The 20,454-nt window shown below is 43.4% G+C and overlaps 1 long non-coding RNA gene, 2 other non-coding genes and 1 pseudogene across 3 annotated transcripts; 1 reads left to right on the forward strand and 3 right to left on the reverse strand.

Moving 5' to 3' along the window:
* Positions 1 to 1,966: 1,966 nt before the first annotated feature.
* Positions 1,967 to 8,222, reverse strand: LOC105374768 (uncharacterized). The gene is made up of 3 exons (NR_189739.1): positions 8,048 to 8,222; positions 4,570 to 4,870; positions 1,967 to 4,420 (listed from the first exon to the last, which is right to left on the reverse strand). It is a non-coding gene; the product is annotated as an uncharacterized LOC105374768 (long non-coding RNA).
* Positions 7,260 to 7,361, reverse strand: MIR4433B (microRNA 4433b). Its single transcript, NR_106995.1, has one exon. It is a non-coding gene; the product is annotated as a microRNA 4433b (primary transcript).
* On the forward strand, positions 7,272 to 7,352 carry MIR4433A (microRNA 4433a). Its single transcript, NR_039632.1, has one exon. It is a non-coding gene; the product is annotated as a microRNA 4433a (primary transcript).
* On the reverse strand, positions 13,731 to 14,262 carry RPL23AP37 (ribosomal protein L23a pseudogene 37; annotated as a pseudogene).

A 20,454-nucleotide genomic window follows, 5' to 3' on the forward strand; every position in this document is an offset into this window, starting at 1 on the left:
TTGACAATTGGTTGAGTTTATCTAAAGACCTGGGACCAATAGAAAGGAAATGTTTAGGTTAAGATAAAGGATGGTGGTGACCAAGTTTTATTGTTCTGAAGAAGCTTTCAGCAGACTTCAGAGAGAGCAGGTTGTAAAATGTTTCTTATCCCACTTAAAAGGTTACCTGGCTCTTAGTTGAGTATCTCCTGGGTCTGGAAAGAAAGAGGAAAAAGGAGGGGAGGGGAAGGGAAATCTCCATAGAATCTCTATAGATTCTCCATAGATTTTTCCCACAAGAGACAACCTTGCCAGGCAATTTCAAGATATGGCAAGAAAATATATTTGGGGTTTAAATATTTATATTTCCTTCCTTATTTGTTATGTGATGTTATGCCAGAGCCAGGTTGGAAAGCAGACCACCTTATATAGGGGGGTTAAATAAAAATCCTTCTACGCAGTGCACGGTGGCTCACGCCTGTAATCTCAGCACTTTGGGAGGCTGAGGTGGGTGGATCACTTGAGGTCAGGGGTTCCAGACCAGCCTGGCCAACATGGTGAAACCCTGTCTCTACTAAAAATACAAAAATTAGCCAGGTGTGGTGGCACACACCTGTAATCCCAGTTACTTGGGAGGCTGAGGCACAGAATCGCTGGAACCTGGGAGGTGGAGGTTGCAGTGAGCCAAGATCACAGAACTGCACTCCAGCCTGGGCAACAGAGCGAGACTCTGTCTCAAAAAAACAAAAACAAACAAACAAAAAACCCTCTGATGAGACTGTATGGTTTGTAGGGTGTGACTCCCGAGGCCCCTTAGGTAGGAATTTGGGGAAGATAAAAAAAAAGTCAGAGTTTAGATCTCCCTCTTCTTTCCCTGCCCACCCAAGCCTCTTCTGTCCATTCTTTTCTTGTTTCCAGAATTTTGTTTTTTAACAAAATGGATCCTGTTACTCCTTATTGTCCTCAGGACATGCAAAATGCAAACTCCTTAGGCCAGAATACAAGTGCTTTCTCATCAGGCCATGCAGACACCTCCAGCCTCATCACCCGCAAAGCCGGGCCGAACAACTTTTTAGCGAAATGAATCTGTGCTCTTATTTACGACTGTGTGTTTTTATTTTTTTCCTGGCCTAGATATTTTTAATATTGTGATAAAATATAAATAACATAAAATTGGCCATTTTAGCCATTTTTAAGTATACAGTTCTGTGGCAGTAAGTGCATTCACATTGTTGTACAACTATCACCACCATCCATCTCCAGAACTTTTTCCGCGACTGAAGCTCTGTACCCACTAACTTTCCATTCCTTTTTCTCCCCAACCCCTGAAAACTAACTACCATTTTACTTTCTGTCTTTATTATTTCACTACTCCAGGTGCCTCCTGTAAGTGGAATCATAAAATATTTGTCCTTTTGTGATTGACATTGCTAAGCATGATATCCTCAAGGTTCACTCATGTCAGAATTTCCTTCTCTTTTAAGGCTAAATAATATTTCATTGTATGTAAATCCTACCCACTGTATAGTTTTAAAAATAATTATTAATATACTTCATACACACAGTTTTGTTCTTCCTCTGTTTCAAGTTCACCAATCTCATTCCCCCAGAGACAGTCACTGCTTACTAATTTCTTGTATTTGCTTCCAGATAAGTTTTATGCATATTATAATAAAATACAAATATATCCCGCCTTTTAATCCAAATGATAACATGCAATTTACACTTTTCTTGTCTGCTTGTTTAAAATTTAGTAATATAGCCTGGAAACCTTTCTGTAGCAATACATACAGAGTTTTTTAAATTGTTTTTTTGTAGCCGTGTATTCAACTGCATGGATATACTCCAATCCAGCAAAATTTTCTATAAAGGGCCAAATAGTAAATATTTTAGGATTTGTGGGACAGCGAGTCTCTTGGGAAACTGCTCAGTTCTCTGTTAAGGTGCAAAAGAAGTCAGAGACCATGTGTAAACAAAGGAGCATGGCTGTGTTCCAATAAAACTTTATTTATGGACTCTGATTTTAGAATTTTATATAATGTTCATGTGTCACAAAATGTAATTCTCTTTTGATTTTTTTCAACCATTTAAACATGTTAAAACGATTTTTCCCTTGAAAGTCCTACAGTAACAGGAAGAAGGCCAGATTTGGGCCCTGATGGTAGTTTGCCAACCTCTAACTTATTTAACCAGTTCCTTATTAACGAGCATTTAAATTGTTTCTAATCGTTTGCTGCAATTTATAACCTTGTATGTATAGCACTTCATATGCATGCAAATATATGTATCTGTGGAGTAAGCTCTAAGAAGTGAGATTGCTGGGTTAGATGATATATGCATTTGCTATTTTGGTAAATATTGCTAAATCGCCCTCCTAGGGGCTGTACTAGTTGACATACCCACCAGCAATATATGGAAATGTCTGCGTATTTTCAAATTTGGGTTTTTGCAAATGTGAGAAATGAACAAAAAAAAACAAGGCATGTCAGTACTTTTAATTTGCATTTTTCTTATCATGAAGAGGTTGAACATCTTTTCATATGTTTACTAGCCATTTGTATTTATTTTCATTATTGTTCTATAAGCCACTTTTTCACATGCTTTGCTCGTATTTTCATTGGTCTTTTCTTTAGAGGTTTATGTATCTTTATAATTTAAAGAAATTAGCCCTTTGCTGAGTTTTGTGTATCCTTTACAGATTTGCATTTGTTTTCGACTTTGCTTATATACAGGTTTGATTTTTGTTTGTTTCACATGCAAGAGCTTAAAAAGTTTTTTTCAACTTTTATTAGTTGACTTAATCAATTTCCTATTTTATAGTTCCTGATTTGTGAGTCAGGATTAGGAAAGACTTTCCCACTCTAAGATTATGAAAGATTTCTCCCACATTTTCTCTTGGTACTTGTGTGGTTTTATTGTTTACCTTTAAATGTTTAATCCATGTGGAATTTATTCTGATATATGGTGTGAGGTATAGCTCCAGCTCAATGTTTTTCAAGATGGCTACCCAGGAATCTCAACAACACTTATTGAATTCTCACTGAATTTGGAATGCTTCCTTTATCATATGCTAAATTCCTGTATATATTTATATTCTTAAACTGTTCCATTGGTCTCTCTATCTATTCATGTGCTAGTACTATGAAGTTTTAATTGTCAAAGTACTATAATATGTTTTTATGTTTGTTGTTCTAGTCCAGGGTTTCTCAACATCTTGGGCCAGATATAATTCTTTGTCATGGGGGGCTATCTTGTGCACTGTAGGATGTTCGGCAGCATCCCTGACCTCTACCTATTAGATGCCAGTAGCAGACACTTGCACACACATGTGCATACATGCACACACACACAATTGTGGAAAGCAAACAAAAAGTCTCCAGTTGTTGCCAAATGTACCCTGGGGGTCAAAATTACCCTGTTGGGCTAGTCATTCATCACTGTCCTTTTTCACAGCTTCCTGTTTGTTTACTTCAGCCTTGTGTGTTTGCACATGTTGTTCCCTGTACCTGGAATGTCCTCCTCTTACTTTCTCATCAGAGATCAGCTCAGGCACTGTCTCCCAGGAAGCCTTCTCATGTCACCCTGTGTATTAGTTCATTCTCATGCTGCTATAAGAACATACCCAAGAATGGGTAATTTATTTAAAAAAGATTTAATTGACTTACAGTTTCACATGGCTGGGGAGGCCTCAGGAAACTTATAGTCATGGCAGAAGGGGAAGCAAACATGGCCTTCTTCACGTGGCAGCAGGAGAGAGTAGTCCAATGTGAAGAGGGGAAAAGCCCCTTATAAAACCATCAGCTCTCATGAGAACTCACTCACTATCACAAGAACAGCATGGTGGAAACCATTTCCATGATTCAATTACCTCCCACCAGGTCCCTCCTATGACACATGGGGATTATGGTAACTACAATTCAAGACGAGATTTGGGTGGGGACACAAAGCCAACCATATCACCCTGCTCTATTGTGTGCCTTGCCCAACCCCATATGTGAATCCCCATCATCCTCTATGGAAATGAGCCCTTTGCTTTGTCTCTCACCCGTCACCAGGGGTCTCATTCATGTCTTTATCTCCAGCCTCTGGCTGAGCCTGGCACAGGGCAGGTGCTCTGTCAGTATTGTTGGATGAAAGGATGAGTGAATACTTCTTTGACCCATCTCCCACTAATAGCGAGATGTTCAGTCAAAGAAGACATGGGTAAAGGATGAGATGTTAACTCTTGTCCAGAGTGAAGCCTGGTGCCAAGAAGCAACAGGAGGTGGGGAGAGTCTAGCATGTGTTGAGTGCCTACTATGTGCCAAGCATGGCAGTAGATGAGACTTCTTCAATCTCCTGTTCCAAATCTCTGCTGTCCACAGCTATCAGGATGCACTCAGATGCTTAGAAACAGGAAAACAAGGAGAGCTGGGGAGCACCAAAGGGCCTCTGTAGTTTCCTGGGAAAGCAGGATAAACAGTGTTAAGAGCATGAGCCCTGGAGTTGGACAGCTTAGGTCAGATCCCTACTCTATCTACTTACCAGGTATTTAACCTCCTTAAGTCTCAGTTTCTTCATTAGTAAAAAGGGGATAATAAGAGTACCCACCTTGGAGGGCTTCTGTAAGAAACTAAAGCATTTATATGCTGCTGAGACATAGTAAACATTCAACATATGGCAGGCTCTTAATATTATTTCCTCTTCTATCCGCGAACTGCCTGAGATGTTTTTTCTAGCTGGGCATTGGTTTAAAAGTCCCCGAGACTATGTTAGACCCAGGGTGGGATTGTTTTTCCAGGGCTCCTTGCAAGGAACTAGGAGAACTCTGGCAGGAGCACCCTCCGGGAGCAGCAGGGCCTCCTCAGGTGGGTTGTTTGTGGTCAGACAGGTCCTCCCAGTTCCCTCCACACTGAGAGCATTGGAGAGAAAAGAGCAAAATGAAGTGATTACCCTGAGGTACAGGCCATACTGAACACTGTCTGTGAAACAATGGTGGGGTTTGGGGTCCTCTTTGGCACTGACTTAATTTTTTCCTAAGCCCATGGGCTTAGGGGCCAGAAAAGCACCAGGTACTGCGTTAGCAGTGTCCCTCAGGCCAGATGCAGTGGCTCGTGCCTGTAATCCCAGCACTTTGGGAGGCTGAGGGTGGAGGACCCCTTGAGCCTAGGAGTTCGAGACCAGCCTAGGCAACATAGCTAGACCCTGTCCCATTTATATTAAAAAATAAATTTTTAAAAAAGAAGTGTCCCTGAAAGAGTTAACACCAAAAGTATTTGCTAAAGATCTTAAATGAAGTAATTTTTTTTCAGTTACTTGCATAGGAGTAAATAATAGTAATAAGTAACACCTGCTGAGCCCTTAAATGCAGGCATGGTGCGCTACCTGCTTTACATTGAGTTATGTGACCCACCTGCATGTTTCCTCTCTCAGACCAGGTCATCATCTGGTGATGGGGTGGGGGTACAGTTGCTATACCCTCATTATGAATTTCTTTATTAACCTTAGTCCTGTTTACCTCTAACCTAGAGGCTTCTGAGCAAGCGCCCTCCTGTCTGCCATGCTCTCCTCTGGGCAGGTTTAGCTGAGAGCTGGAAGCAGAGATGAGTCAGACATGAGTACAGTCTTGGTCTTTAGGGGCTTTTATCCCACAGCTGATTGTGGCTAGAGGGGGTGGGGCTGTTTTTAGCCCAGCTTGCAGCCTTACCCCCTGCTGCTTGCAGCACCATCAGAAGCATACCTGCTCCAAGAGAGAAAACAGACTTTGACCACAAAAGGACACATGCTTCTCTTTTGCATGTCCTCGGATGCCTACTTGGGATCGCATGGGTGCTGAGAAGATGCTGTTGATGGTTTGCCCTGGTTGTAGCTGCATTTCTAGGGGTGTGGCCTAAGCCAGGCAGTCGGGGTGAATAGGGCTTCTCCTTTCAGAGGTTCTTCCAAGAAGGGAAAATCGTGTGCCCATTGATTTTGTTTCCACCACAATCTTTGTCCAGGCCATCCATCACCTTTCCCCCTGAATCTACAACCCCTTCAGGGGTGTCTCTGTTCCCACCCTTCTCCTGTCCTATACAGTCTGCACTTGATGGCCCAGAGCAGCCTTCCTCTGACTGTTCTCATCAAGTGGCTATAACCACAGTGCTCACCCAAGGCACACTGGGGGAAATTCAAGCTTCTCCTGCCCTTTTCCTAAAATACTCATGACCACCAAACACTATTTATTCCAGTATATCTTGTGGAAGGGGGTGTTGCTGAGTATTAAGCAAAAAACTTTATTTTTGTATATTCAAACTTATGGAATAAGTTCAGGAAATACTGAGTTAAAAGGGTTAAAGTGTTGGTTTTTCAACTGCAGGACTTCTCAGACTCTTTGAGATGCTGATGTACACAAGGGGTATGGGCTGCATGTTTCTACATGCTGATTTGATATAGAACCCTAGATAGAGCATCTCGCAAGACCAGTGGTCCCTGGAACCCAGCTTAGAAAACACTGCCCCAAAGAAGTCTCCTGAGAAAAATGTATTGCTGTTGATCTTTCAGCCTTCGTCACTGCTATCCTTCCCCTAAAGGGCTTGCCTTCAGCCTCTCTACCCATCCTGGTTCCCCCAGTGCTTTGGAACCAGGACAGACACACTCTGCTCCTAATAAGCATTTCATAGTCAGCCCCAGCCCAGAGCTCTCCTTATCATTCATTCATTCATCAAATATTTTTTGAGCATTTACTTTCTTCCAGGAGCTGTGCTAAGAGATATAGTAGCAACCAAGGAACATTCCAGTAGGAAACAGACAGGTAAGTAGATGGGTTTAGTATAGTGTGAGAAGTACAATACAAACACACCCAAGGATAGATCCAGATTGAGTCTTGGACAGTCGGAAAGACTTCCAGGGGAAAAAAAATGGCATCTTTTCTTCATTTCCACACTTAGCAATTTTTCTATATTGGTTTGTCATTTATTCATTTAATCACCAATCATTTATTGTGGGCTGGGCACTGTGCAGAGATAGTAATCAGACTTGACTTGAGGACGATAAGAAATCACTGAAGGGATTTTAAGCAGAGAAAGGACATGATCTATTTACACTGGTAGATGTCACTTTGATTGTAGGAAAAGTGGACCGGCCAGGGCAAGGCTTGAGGCAGGAAGCCAGCTAGGAGACCACTGCATGAACCCACATAAAAATGAGGACCTGGGCTAGGGAAGTAGCAGGAAAAGTGGATTTTGACAGATATCTAGGACAGAGCCAACAGGACTTGGACAGCAATGGGATGTGGGGGAGTAAGAGGGAATAGTTTAGGATGATGTTCTTTCCCCCATCCTCCTTACGTCCCACCCCCCACTCCTGTTTCTGGTGAAATATTCAAACAGGAGTGGGGGTGGGACATAAGGAGGATAGGGAACACAGGATGAAGGGCAGGTTACAGGGGTCCACGTGCGAGGGGAAGATAATGTGTTCAGTTTTAGACATGCTGAGCTCATGATTCCAATTCCTTTGGACATTCCAGTGGAGATATCTGGCAGGCTGATTTTTCTCACGAGAGAAATCATGTCTGGAAATACAGATCTGAGAAGCAGCAGCAACATATGGGTGGCCACCAAAGCCGTGGACTCAGTCAGCACCATTAAGCCAGAGTGATGGGTGAGATGGGTGACAAGGGCCCCCCTTGCAGCAGGTGGGTGACAAAAGAAGAATCAGTGTTGCAGCATGGGAAGGACTGCCCAGAGAGAAAGGAAGTGAACCAGGAGAGGATCTAGAAAAAGGACACTGGGCAATGAGAGCTTGGAGCGGGCCTCTGCACCAGGGGAGGGGTGGCTTTGACTGGCAGATACACATGTCTAGTACACGTGGAGGGTATGAAAACTCCAGGGAAAGAGAGGGGCAGCAGGAGCTCCCTCTTTTTGTAAAACAGGCTTTCTCTTAGGCGTAGCCTTCTAACTGATCTGCCCCACTATCCTCAACCCACTCTCCACTTCATAGCCAGATAGGTCTTTTCAAAACACATCTCTGATCACATCACCGCCTCTCCCCCAGCTCTATTAAAAACCTTTGGATATTTCTATGGCTCTTAGCATGCAGACCAAACTCCTACCTGGCCTGGCCTCTACTTCCTTCTCCAGGTGCACCTTCTGCCAGACTCTCTTGCTCTCTCCCCTGCAGCCAGCTGGCTTCCATTCGGCCTCGCAGACTCGTTGCATGGGTGTTACATTGTTGCTGTCAGAGCCATGTCCACCCTTCCCATCCCGTGGTCCCCCGATCTGCTCTGTGTCACTGGGGGCTGTTCCAGGCTCCAGAGCCAACTGCCTTCCAGTAAAGTTCAGCCAATGGGGAGTGAGGGAGGGCAAAAGATATTGGAGGTGAAGGAAGGAGAAGCCAGAGTACTTCTCCTGCTTCTCTTTCTCAGGAGTCTCTTCTGTGGCTGCAGTTCCCACTACACAGCCATCTCTGTGTGATCCCTGCTACCCATCTTGGCAGGCCCTCTTTGTTCCAGCTTATCTTGTCTTAGGCTCCAGAAACTGTTTCTTTCCTTGTTCTCCAGCTTCCAGGGTGGTGCTATGGGTTGAATTGTGTCTCCCCTGCAAGTTCATGTGTTGAAGTTCTAACCCCCAGTACTTTAGAGTGTGACCTTATTTAGGGTTGTGGTCTTTATAGAGTAGCCGAATTAAAGTGAGGTCATTAGGGTGGACCCTAATCCAATATGAATGTTGTCCTTATAAAAAGGGGAAGTTTGGACAGAGATAGACACACACAGAGGGAAGACGATGTGAAGAGACATAGGTGAAAATGGTCATCTACAAGTCAAGGAAAGAGGCGTGGAACAGATCCTTCCCTCATAGGCCTCAAAAGGAACTACCCCTTCTGACACCTTGATTTTGGACTTCCAGCCTTCAGAACTCTGAGACAATAACTTTCTGTGTGAAGCCACCCAGTCTGTGGCACTTTGTTACTGCAGCCCTAGCAAACAAATACAGTAGTCCCAGCTTCCTGGAGTTGCTACTCTCAGGGTTCCCCTGGGAGCTCTTTCAACTCCTCTGACTCCCCGTATGAAATTCCCTCTATCAAATCACCTAGAGTGGGTTTTGCTTTCCTGGCTGGGTCCTGACTAATATGCCTGCCATGATCCTTTCTGCCACAGAGGACATAGTGCTTCCTCTGCCTGGTATTTTTCCCCCTCTCATCTTTACCTAATGAACTTTCCCTAGTAAACTCATCTAGGTCATAGGTAAATGTCACTTCCTCAAGAAGGCCTACCCCTGTATAGTCATTACCAGCTCTTATGGCTCCAAGCACCACCACTCATGGTTTTGATTTTATTTCTGTGTGTGATTATTAGTTAATGTTTTCTTCCCAGTCCATCAGGAAAGGTAGTCTTTTTTTTCTTACCACTTTCCCCAGAGCCTAGGATGATGCCTATAGTAAATATTTAATACACAGTCATGTGTGACTTAACAACGGGGATACCTACTAAAGAATGCATTGTTAGGCAGTTTCGTAATGAGAGCATCAGAGTATACTTACACAAACCTAAATGGTGTAGCCTGCTACACACCTAGACTATCTGGTCTAGCCTATGGTTCCTAGGCTACAAACACCTATAGTACGTTACTGTACTGAATAATGTGGGCAATTGTAACATAGTAGTATTTGTGTATCTAAGCACATCTAAACATAGAAAAGATACATAAAAATATGATACTATAATCTTAAGAAATCACCATTGTATATGTGGTCCCTCATTCACTGAAACATTGTTATGTGGCTCCTGACTATATATTTATTGAGTGAACGGAGGAAGGGTAGTATAATTTTGTAGATAATGCTAGTATTTATGTGCCAGTAAAGTTCTAAGCATCTTACAAATATTGCATTTAATCCTTTAATCCTCATAACAATTTATGGGATAAGTAATATTACCTCTATTTTACACATGAGTAAATTCACTTATGATCCCATAGCTAGTAAGGATTTGAACCCAGGGACTCCAGCACCAGAGCCTGAACTCTTAATCACTGTTATTCTGGCCTACGCTGTTCTCCCATGTTTTAGCAAGTCTACAAATTTTGTTTGTGCTAGCTTGCTATTATACTATGCCTTGTACCTCTTATTTGCAATGAATTATGTTTAACTTGACATGATATTAGAAAATTTCCTGGACAAATGTTTTCTATGCCAAATAGCACCCCAATAATATGCACCTTGAGTTTTAGCAAAAATTTGGTGACAAACCTATGAATACACAGTCCCAGGATGGTGAGGTTCCTGGGTATCTCACCATCTTTTGTGGTTCTGTGAAATCTGCCCACCTCTCTATAAATCATCCCCTCATTAAAATCCCTTCAGCTAAACCCTTTGGGAATGCCATCTTCCTTCTGGGACTCTGGCTGATACCCTGCAACTTCCTGGGAGCATCCCCTGGCTTTCTTATGTGTTTATGGCACGTGACATTACCATGTGACTGCAGTAGCCTGGGCTGCCTCTCCTGTGTCCGGCAGCTGTTGGCACCACCTTATGTGTGGAGAGTGCCCTGTGTGCTCAGAACACCCCAGGTACTATGGGGAGATGCCCTGGACCAAGACTCTTCATATTTCATGAGCATTACAGCGCAGAGGAAATCAATTTACACTGGCTTATTTGTGGTTTAAAAATGATCCAGCTGGGCATGGTGGCTCATGCCTGTAATCCCAGCACTTTGGGAGGCCAAGGTGGGTGGATCATTTGAGGTCAGGAGTTTGAGACCAGCCTGGCCAACATGGTGAAACCCCCACCTCTACTTAAAAAAATAAAAAATAAAAAAATTAGCCAGGTGTGGTGGTAGGCACCTGTAGTCCTAGCTACTCAGGAGGCTGAGGCAGGAGATTTGCTTGAACTCGGGAGGCAAAGGTTGCAGTAAGCCAAGATCATGCCATTGCACTCCAGCCTGGGTGACAGAGGGAGACCCCATTTAAAACAGAATAAAAAGAATGACCCTAAATCTTCTTCAGGTTTCAGACAAAATAGCAGTTTCTAGAGGGCACAGCCTATGTCCTGTTGTGGTGCATATGGAGGACTACGGTGGCCATACCTTTTTCTTGCTCACTCATTTGCCCATCTTCCTTTGCATGTTAACAGCTGCCCACTGTTCCTGCTGAGGGATTTTTCCTGCTCTATTCCATTTGGTGGAGTAAGGCACAGTGGCATTCCTCTTGGCAGCTGAGATTGGGTCAGGGATGGGACCTGCCAGATGTAATGAAACGACTTTTCCTAGTGAGGTCAACCTGCTAGGAAGATGGGAGTCTGTGGATAACCATCTCGTCTGTCTGAAGCATAAAGTCGAGACATGCAAAGCCAATAAACTGAGGAGACAGAACCTAGCAACATCATTCAAGACCTGGATCCCACCATCCCTGAAGCCAGTGAATACCCTGTATTCCACAATCATGCAACCCAATAAAGTCCTCTTTTGCAGCCGTAGCATGTTTGAGGTTGGTTTCTTCACTCATATCCAGAACATTCCCACTGATAGAGTTGTGGAAGCTTCTTGCTGTCTCCAGTGTACCTTGTAGTCTCTCTTCTAAAACTTTGTTTATACCAACTGTATTTTAAGCTCACTCCCTTATTATACATTGTCTTGTTCAATCACCTGTATCACAACATTTAAAATCTGGGTTGTTTATTAGCCTGTTGTCTGTCAGCCCCACACTCATGCCTCTGACTCTGGGCTGTAAGGTTGAAAACTACATTTCCCAGGTTCCCTTGCCAGCTGGCTTCCAGTAAGAGGCTCTGGCAGAGAAATGGAAAAGGAAGAGAAGCCACTGTTCTCTCTCCCCATCCCTGCTTTGGGGCACCTCTGAAAATTTCTGAAACCCCTTGATGACCCCAGCTTCAGCCAAAGCAGCCTCTGCTCAGTGGTCACAGCTCTAGCCTGGGTGGTCCCTCTTCAGTGGTTCCTGCACTGTCAGCAGTTGTAACAGCACCTCAAACAAAGCAACAGCATGTACACTTGGACTCTAACACCACCTTCCCCAACGACCATTTTCCTGTCATTATTATTCTCTGGTTACCTTACATTTTTGTTCTTTCAGCCCTTTTAACACTTTTGTAACTAATTTCCTGTATGAAACACTCTATTTAAAACATCTGCCATGATTCCTGTTTGCCTGACTGGAATCCTGATTGATACAGTGTATATTGTACATTACCTAACTCACTAGTAATTTCAGATGTGAACGAAGTTTCTTCTTAACAGGATGATGAGTTTCTATTGGGCAGACTGCATATGTGTCTGTCACAGACACAGTGTAGGACTGAACATATAACGTGAATCTGTACATACTTAATGATATAAGACAACCCTTGTCTCAGTGACATCTACAAGCTTGATGGTACACGAATATAGAAACATTCTCAAAGCGATATTGGAGCCATGTTCAAATTAGCACAATTGAGGCTACTCATTCCAACTGGGGAACATATGGAATGACAGTGTCCTTTAGTGATACTGACCCAGGCATGCTTTCTGGAAGAGGAAGAGTCTCAGGCTAGAATGGATGTGAGACATTTCCTTATCACTTCTCTGATTCTGGTAGAGTGATGAGGTAAACTTGTAAGGAAAATCAAGGTGGAGCTAAGCTGTAGTTGGCTCTACATCAGACAAATGCATTCATTCATTCAGGAGACTTTCATGGAGGGCCTACAATGTGCAGACGCATCATCCAACAACTCTACCACCTGCTGTCATTCAGCGTTTTAGTCAAGTCATGGTTTTTTGTGTGTTTTTTCAAATGTGTGCATTGGACAATGACTCATGCCTAAAATCTACATTTGTTCATATTTCCAATCTTCAAATACCTGAGAAGTACAGTTGTAAATATCAGTTCCAATTTCTTGGGCAGTCTTTCAAGGTAAAGTGCAAGCCAATCTCCTGGAGACACCTTGCCTTTTTCTATTGTCTGACTGTGAATGATTTAGATTGCCTGGGTCCCAGCCCTTCCATCTGGCCTTTGAAGAACTAGATCTTGATGACAGCCATGAGCATGGCTTTAGACACGCTGGTGCAAGGATCTGTGTGACCTCTAATCTCACAAGGGTCCTTGCTCAGACCCAGAAAGGGCTTCTCTACAGTATAGGAGAGGGATTGCCTCCAGGTTGCATGTGGGCAGCTGCCAACGTGAATGGCTTGGTCCTCAGCCTATAGAGCTTAAAGGTATTTATTTATATAATAATGAAAAACTGTGAGAAAAATCTAAATGTCTACCAGTAGGAGTAATTAGAGTGTACCCCTTTATCCATGGGGAATATGTTCCAAGCTCCCCCAGTGGATGCCTGAAACTGAGGATAGTCCTGAACTCTATACGTGCTATGTTTTTTTTTTATCCAATAACAGAGATGGCTACTAAGTGACTAATGGACAGATGGTGTAGACAGCATGAATATGCTGGACGAAAGGATGATCCACATAACAGGCTGGACAGAGTGGAATGGCACACAATTTGATGACACTACTCAGTAGGATGCACAATTTAAAACTTATGAGTTTTTTCTGGAATTTTCCATTTAACTGCAGTTGACCATGGGTAACCAAACCACAGTTGACCATGGGTAACTAAAGCTCTGGAAAGTGAAACCATGGATCGGGGGAACTATTGTACATATCTTATAAAATATTATATTGCCATTTAAAAATTGTGATGAATATACGTGTACTGGCATGGAAAGATGTCTGAATTGTATGGCTAAGTGAGAAAAAGCAGTTCCAGAATAGCAAATACAGTTTAATATATATACATTTTTTTTTAATGGTGAAAAGTTATACATATATTTGGAATTAGCCAGCTGGACTCAGTTTAGATGATCCCAATTTTGTTGGCAACATCTAAAGCATTGTAATTAGGAGCCAGTCGAACATATGCCTTCTTCTCTCCATCAGGCCGAATCGGGGTGTTGACTTTGGCCACATCAATGTCATAGAGCTTCTTCCCAGCCTGTTTGATCTGGTTCTTGGTGGTGGCTTTAACATCCACAATGAACACAAGAGTGTTGTTTTCTTCTGTCTTCTTCATGGTGAACTCAGTGGTCAGCGGAAACTTGATGATAGCATAGTGGTCAAGCTTGTTTCTCCTGGGGGCGCTCTTCCGAGGATATTTGGGCTGCCTCCGGAGTCGCAGTGTCTTGGGCCTCCGGAAGGTGGGTGACATGTGGATCTTGTTTTTTGTGTGGCTGTGGACACCTTTCGACACTGCCTTCTTGGCCTTTAAAGCATTCGCTTTGGCTTCAGCTTTAGGAGGGGCAGGAGCTTCCTTCTTCGCTTTTGGTGCCATCTTGTGAAAAAGCTAAAGGTATATTTTTAAAAGATGTATAAATATGTGTGTGTACATTATGTGTGTGTGTGTGCATATATGTGTGTGTGTGTGTAAATGAATAGAATAGAGATGAGAAGTCTCTACCTAGATTCTCTGGAGTGCTTACCTCCAGAGGCAGCACTAAGAGTGAAAGGGGTGCTGAAGGGAATGTTCTCCAGTTTTGGGGGTGGTATGCTTCCGATCACTTAGATATTTACAGTAAGAATACATTCACATATTAGATAATTACCTTTTCTCTCCAAAATAAGAGAAATAAAGAACTATTATGAATGTTGAGGAAGTGAGGAAGATAAAGAGGGGCAGTCAATGAAAGGATTCTTTCATTTTTTCCTCCATATACTTCTATACTATTAGAATTCATGAACAAGAATGCACTCATGTATTTCTTGTATGGTGATTTTTTTTTATCATGCAAAAGTTCATTTATGCATTCCACAGCTAATATTTTTTGACTCTTTACTCAATGCTTAACACCAAGCTCTGCACCTGATCTGTAATTCTCACAATATTCTGAGCCACATATCAGCATCCCATTTTACACAAGAGGAATCTGGGGCCAACAGACTGCTTAGGTAATCTGCCCAGCTACCCATCCAGCTAGCAAATAGTGGCACTAAGATTCAACCAGGTCCACCTGGCTGCAGAGCCTACACTCTCACCTGTCACACTCCACATTCTAGGCCATGGTGGCAGGGACCAGGAGGAATGAGGCTTCTCTGCCTTCGCGTAAGTGGAACCTAGTCAAGATGGAAAATGTGACAGAAAGGCTAAATAAATGGACAGACTGAGCAAAATAAGCAGGAACATTTAATGGAAAGAAACGCTCAGAGAAATAGCCCTAATAAAGTTGAATGACACTAAAATGACAGAGGTGGTTAGGTGAGCTGGAGTGCCCATAAGCATTTTCCTTTGATTCTGCACACCCAGAAGCAGTGTGTCACACTGCAGCTCTGTCCAGACGATTCTCATACTAGCCCAGCAGAGTCCTGTGGTTGGAAGGGACTGTGAGAGCACTCAGAGTCCATTCCCTGCCTGCAGGAGTGAATAACTGAGGCATGGAGTAACTTAAATTACAGGATCAAAGTAGCTTTTCCATCCCAACCCCCAAGTCAGCAAAGGAGTTGGAACTGTGTGCTGGAGTCCAGGGATGGAGTGACAGTCACATGAGTCAGCGTGTGGAAAATTGTATTCATACTACAACTCTTTACAAAGGAAACAACTGCCCATGCCCCTTTCCAGCTGTAAAACATCTGGTTGGCGGGGGAGGATGTCAACTGGGGAAATGGAAAGGAGCCACTCTAGTGCCCTTTCTGTTAGAGTGGCCTCTGCAGGGGGAATGGAGGCAGACTAGAAGGGGCTTGGGGGAGTTGGGTCTAAGTTGTTTGTGCATTGTCGGTGTCACTCTCAGTGTCACTCTCTCTTCCTATGATCCCCCTTGTCAGGGCATGTCTCCATTAGCAGGCCCAATCAGACAGAGTGCATTAAGAATGATTAAAGGCCTTGCAAGAGATTAAGAGAATTATATTTGTATACTCCCTCTAGCCAAGGCTGAAGGACAACTGCTGGTGATTCTCTGAATAGCTTTACAGGTGCAAAGCAGAATTACTGAAGTGGGTTCCAGGGATTAGAGCTTTGAATGATGAGGATGTAATGCAGAGACAAGTTCTCTGAGGGAAACAGCTCCTCAGTCATGGGCATTAAGGGGACTGCCGGGGAGGATTTGAATGAGGATACAAGTTTGACAACAGAGATCCAGGAAGCAATCCACTGGGCAAGGATTGGCTGTGGTTCACTGTGGCAAACCAGTGCAAAATGAACGGAACACCAAAAACTCAGTAATTGAGATAAATAATATTTCAATGCCATATTTTTTAAAAATCAAAATTAATGCAAAAAAATCTGATGAACAAAATATCAAAATTTAAAATAAAGACCAGGGCTGGGCTGAGCCATATTGGAGCCTGAGGCAAAAGGAAAAATGTGCCCCTTGGCTTTAGTGGAAGCAAACTCATCCATCATGTTTTCCAAATCTACTTCTTTGCTTATCTCCACTTCAGTTGAGAGAATGGCCATGTTTGATGATTTCTCTTGACATATGACAATCTTAAATAATTTTTCATAAACTTAAGCCCAACTGAAATTATAATAAATTCAATTTTGATATAAATCAAATATTTAAGCCTAAAATAATTCCATGAGTTATAGTATACCTACTTTTCAATTTTTCAGTATTTTTCAGCAACTTTAATGTTCTGGAAAAAATTAATTGCTACAAAAATGCATACAGAGCTAGGCATGGTGGTGCATGCCTCTAATCCTAGCACTTTGGGAGGCCAAAGCAGGTGGATTGCATGAGCCCAGGAGCTCAAGACCAGCCTGGGCAATATGGTGAAACCCCATCTTTACAAAAAATAAAAATAAAAAAATTAGCTGGGCATGGTGGTGTACATCTGTAGTCCCAGCTACTCAAGAGGCTGAGCCCAGGAGGTAGAGGTTGCAGTGAGCTGAGATCGCATCACTACACTCCAGGTTGGGCAACAGAGTGAGACCCTGTGTCTCAGAAAAAAAATGCGTATGGGAGTGCATAGGTTGCTTTTGTCCTTGAGCTCCAACATGGTTCTGCAGGTCTTTAGTGGTAAATAATCCCCAGCAGATGGTCTCCAGTGGGAAATGGGTGTGTCTGCCTCAAAGGTACTGGTGGTTCTTGCTTATTTCTCCTTCCTTCTGCCTCTCTGGAGTCCTCCTCAGGAATGGGGATGTAGGGAACCATTTCACCCATTTCATACCTTCCTCAGAGGCCATGAGATTACTGGAGACTGGGGACAACATTATCCTCCTGTTCCTGCCTGACAAATGAGAGTCCCTGGCGTTCGGGGAGAGGTTACCTTGAGTCAAAGGCCAAAGGCACATAGAACATTTCTGACACAGAACCTATGACTATGAATACTGTACTGTTCACCAAGCAACTTAAACTTTTTTTAGAATTTCTTGGCTAGAAGAAAATTTCTGAGATAATACAGTTTTAAAAGTTAAACACAGATATAGATATAGATAGGCTCACATGGTTTAAAATCCAAGATAATATAAAAAGGTAAACATTGAGGGACTTAGGGCAGAGCAAGATGGCAGAATAGAAGACTCCACTGATTTTCCTCCCTACAAGGAAACCAATTTTGCCACTATCTACACAAAAAAACTGCGAGCACTCACAGTACATGGTTTTAATTTCACATTGTTGAAACAGGCACTGAAGTGGTAGGAAAAACAGTCTTGATCGCTGATGCCACCCCTCCACCATCACCTGGCAGCAGTGGCTTGGTGTGGAGAGTGTCTCTGTGAGCTGGGGAGAGGGAGGTTGCAGCATTTGTCAGGCACTGAACTCAGTGCTGCCTTATTACAACAGAAAACAAAACCGGACCAAACTTTCCTGACACCCACCCATGGGAGGAGCATTTAAATCAGCCCTAGCCAGAAGGGAATTGCCAATCCTAGTGGTCTGAACTTGAGTTATCTCAAGCCTTGCCACTGTGGACTAAAGTGCTCTGGGGTCCTACATAAACTTGAAAGGCAGTCTAGGTCACAAGAACTCCAATTCCTAGGTGAGTCCTAGTGCTAAACATGGACCAGAGACATCAGACTGGGGGAGCATGCAACCTATTGAGACACCAGCTGGGGCAGCTAAGGGAGTGTCTGTGTCACCCCTCCCCTAAGCCCAGGCTGCACAGTTCGCAACTCCAAAGGAGACCCCTTCCCTCTGCTTAAGGAGAGGAAAGGAAAGAGTGGAGAGGACTTTGTCTTGCATCTTGGCATACCAAGCTCAGCCACAGCAGGATAGGGCACCAGTCAGAGTTATGAGGCCCCCTTTCCAGATCCTAGCTCCTGGATGACATTTCTAGACACACCCTGAGCCAGAAGGGAATCCACTGCCTTAAAGCAAAGGACCCAGTTCTAGCAGGATTCATTACCTGCTAACTGAAGAGCCCTTGGGCCCTGAGAAGCCAGCAGCGATACCCAGGTACTACAGGGAAGGCCTTGGGTAAGACTCAGACTTGTTGGCTTCAGGTGAAACTCAGCACATTCCCAGCTGTGGTGGCTACGGGGTGAGACTCCTTCCACTTGAAAAAAGCAGAGAGAAAAGCATAGGGGACTTTGCCTTGCACCTTAGATATCAACACTGCCACAGGTGGGTAGAGCACCAAGCAGGCTCTTGGGGTCTCCGATTCTAGAACTTGGCTCTTGGATGGCATTTCTTGACCTGCCCTGGTCCTGAGAGGAGCCCCTGCCTTGAAGGGTGAGTCCCAAGCCAGGCAGCATTCACCACAAGCTGACTGAAGAGCACTTGGGCCTTAAGGAGACATTGGTGGTAGTCTGGAAGTACTCCCCATGTGCCTGTAGTGGCCATGGGGTGAGGCTCCTTTGCCTTGGAAAGGGGAGGGAAGAGTGAGAAGGACTGTGTTTTGGGGGTTGGAGTGCCAGCTCAGTCACAGTACAATAGAACACCAGGTAGATGCCTAAGGTTTTTGACTCTAGTCCCTGGCTTCTGGACAGCACCTCTGAATATACCTGGGCACTAGAACTCACCACCCTGAAGGGAAGGACACAGGCCTGGCTGGCTTTTCTACCTGCTGATTGTAGAGTCCCAGGGCCTTTAGCAAACATAGGCCATAACCAGGAAGTAGTTACAGTAGGCCTTGGGTGAGATCAGTAGTGTGTTGGCTTCAGGTCTGACTCAGTGCAATAAGTGGTGGTGGCCACAGGGGTGATTGTGTCACTCCACTTCCAGCTCCAGGTGGCTCAGGACAGAAAGAGAGAGACTCCGTTTGTTTGGTAGAAAGTAAGGGAAAAGAATAAGAGTCTCTTCCTTGTAATCCAGAGAAGTCTTCCAGATCTTGTTCAAGACTATCAAGGCAGTACCTCTAAGGGTCTGTAAGAACCACAGCATTGCTGGGCTTGGGGTGCCCCCTAAAGCAGATACAGCTTAGATCACAACAACCAAGTCCTTTCAAATATCTGGAAAGCCCTCCTGAGAAGGATGGATACAAACAAGCCCTTACAGGACAGTGAAGACTACAATAAATACCTAACTCTTCAATGCCCAGACACTAAAGAATATCTAAAAGCATCAACACCATTTAGGAAAACAAGACCTCACCAAAGGAACTAAATAAGGCACCAGAGACCAATCCTGGAGAAACAGAGATGTGTGACCTTTCAGACAGAGAATTCAAAAGAGCTGTGTTGAGAAAACTCAAAAAAATTCAAGATAACACAGAGAAGGAATTCAGAATTCTATCAGATACATTTCACAAAGAAATTGAAGTAACCAAAAAGAATCAAGTAGAAGTTCTGGAGCTGAAAAATGCAATTGGCATACTGAAGACTACATCAGAGTCTTTTAATAGCAGAATTGATCAAGTAGAAGAAAGAATTGGTGAGCTTGAAGACAGGCTATTTGAAAATACACAGTCAGAGGAGACAAAGGAAAAAAATAAAAAATAATAAAGCACACCTATAGAATCTGGAAAATAGCCTCAAAGGGGGCAACTGTAAGAGTTATTTGCCTCAAAGAAGAGGTGGAGAAAGAGATGGGGGTAGAAAATTTATTCAAAGGGATAATAACAAAGAAATTCCCAAACCTACAGAAAGATACCAATATCTAAGTACAAGAAGGTTATAGAACATCAAGCAGATTTAATCCAAAGAAGACTACCTCAAGACATTTTTAATAATTGAACTCCCAAAGGTCAAGAATAAAGAAAGAATCCTAAAAGCAGCAAGAAAAAAATATAAACAAATAACATAAAATGGAGCTGCAATACATCTGACATCAGACTTTTCAGTGGAAACCTTACTGAGAGTGGCATGAGGTATTTAAAGTGCTGAAGGGAAATAACTTTTACCCTAGAATAGTATATCCAGTGAAAATATCCTTCAAATATAAAGGAGAAATAAAGGCTTTCCCAGAAAAACAAAAGCTAAGGGATTCCATCAACACCAGACCTGTCCTATAAGAAATGCTAAAGAGAGGCCGGGTGCAGTGGTTCACGCCTGTAATCTCAGCACTTTGGGAGGCCGAGGCGGGCGGATCACGAGGTCAGGAGATGAAGACCGCAGTGAAACCCCGTCTCTACTAAAAATACAAAAAATTAGCCGAGCGTGG

This window comes from Homo sapiens, chromosome 2, assembly GCF_000001405.40.
Source record: "Homo sapiens chromosome 2, GRCh38.p14 Primary Assembly".
Taxonomy (NCBI): domain Eukaryota; kingdom Metazoa; phylum Chordata; class Mammalia; order Primates; family Hominidae; genus Homo; species Homo sapiens.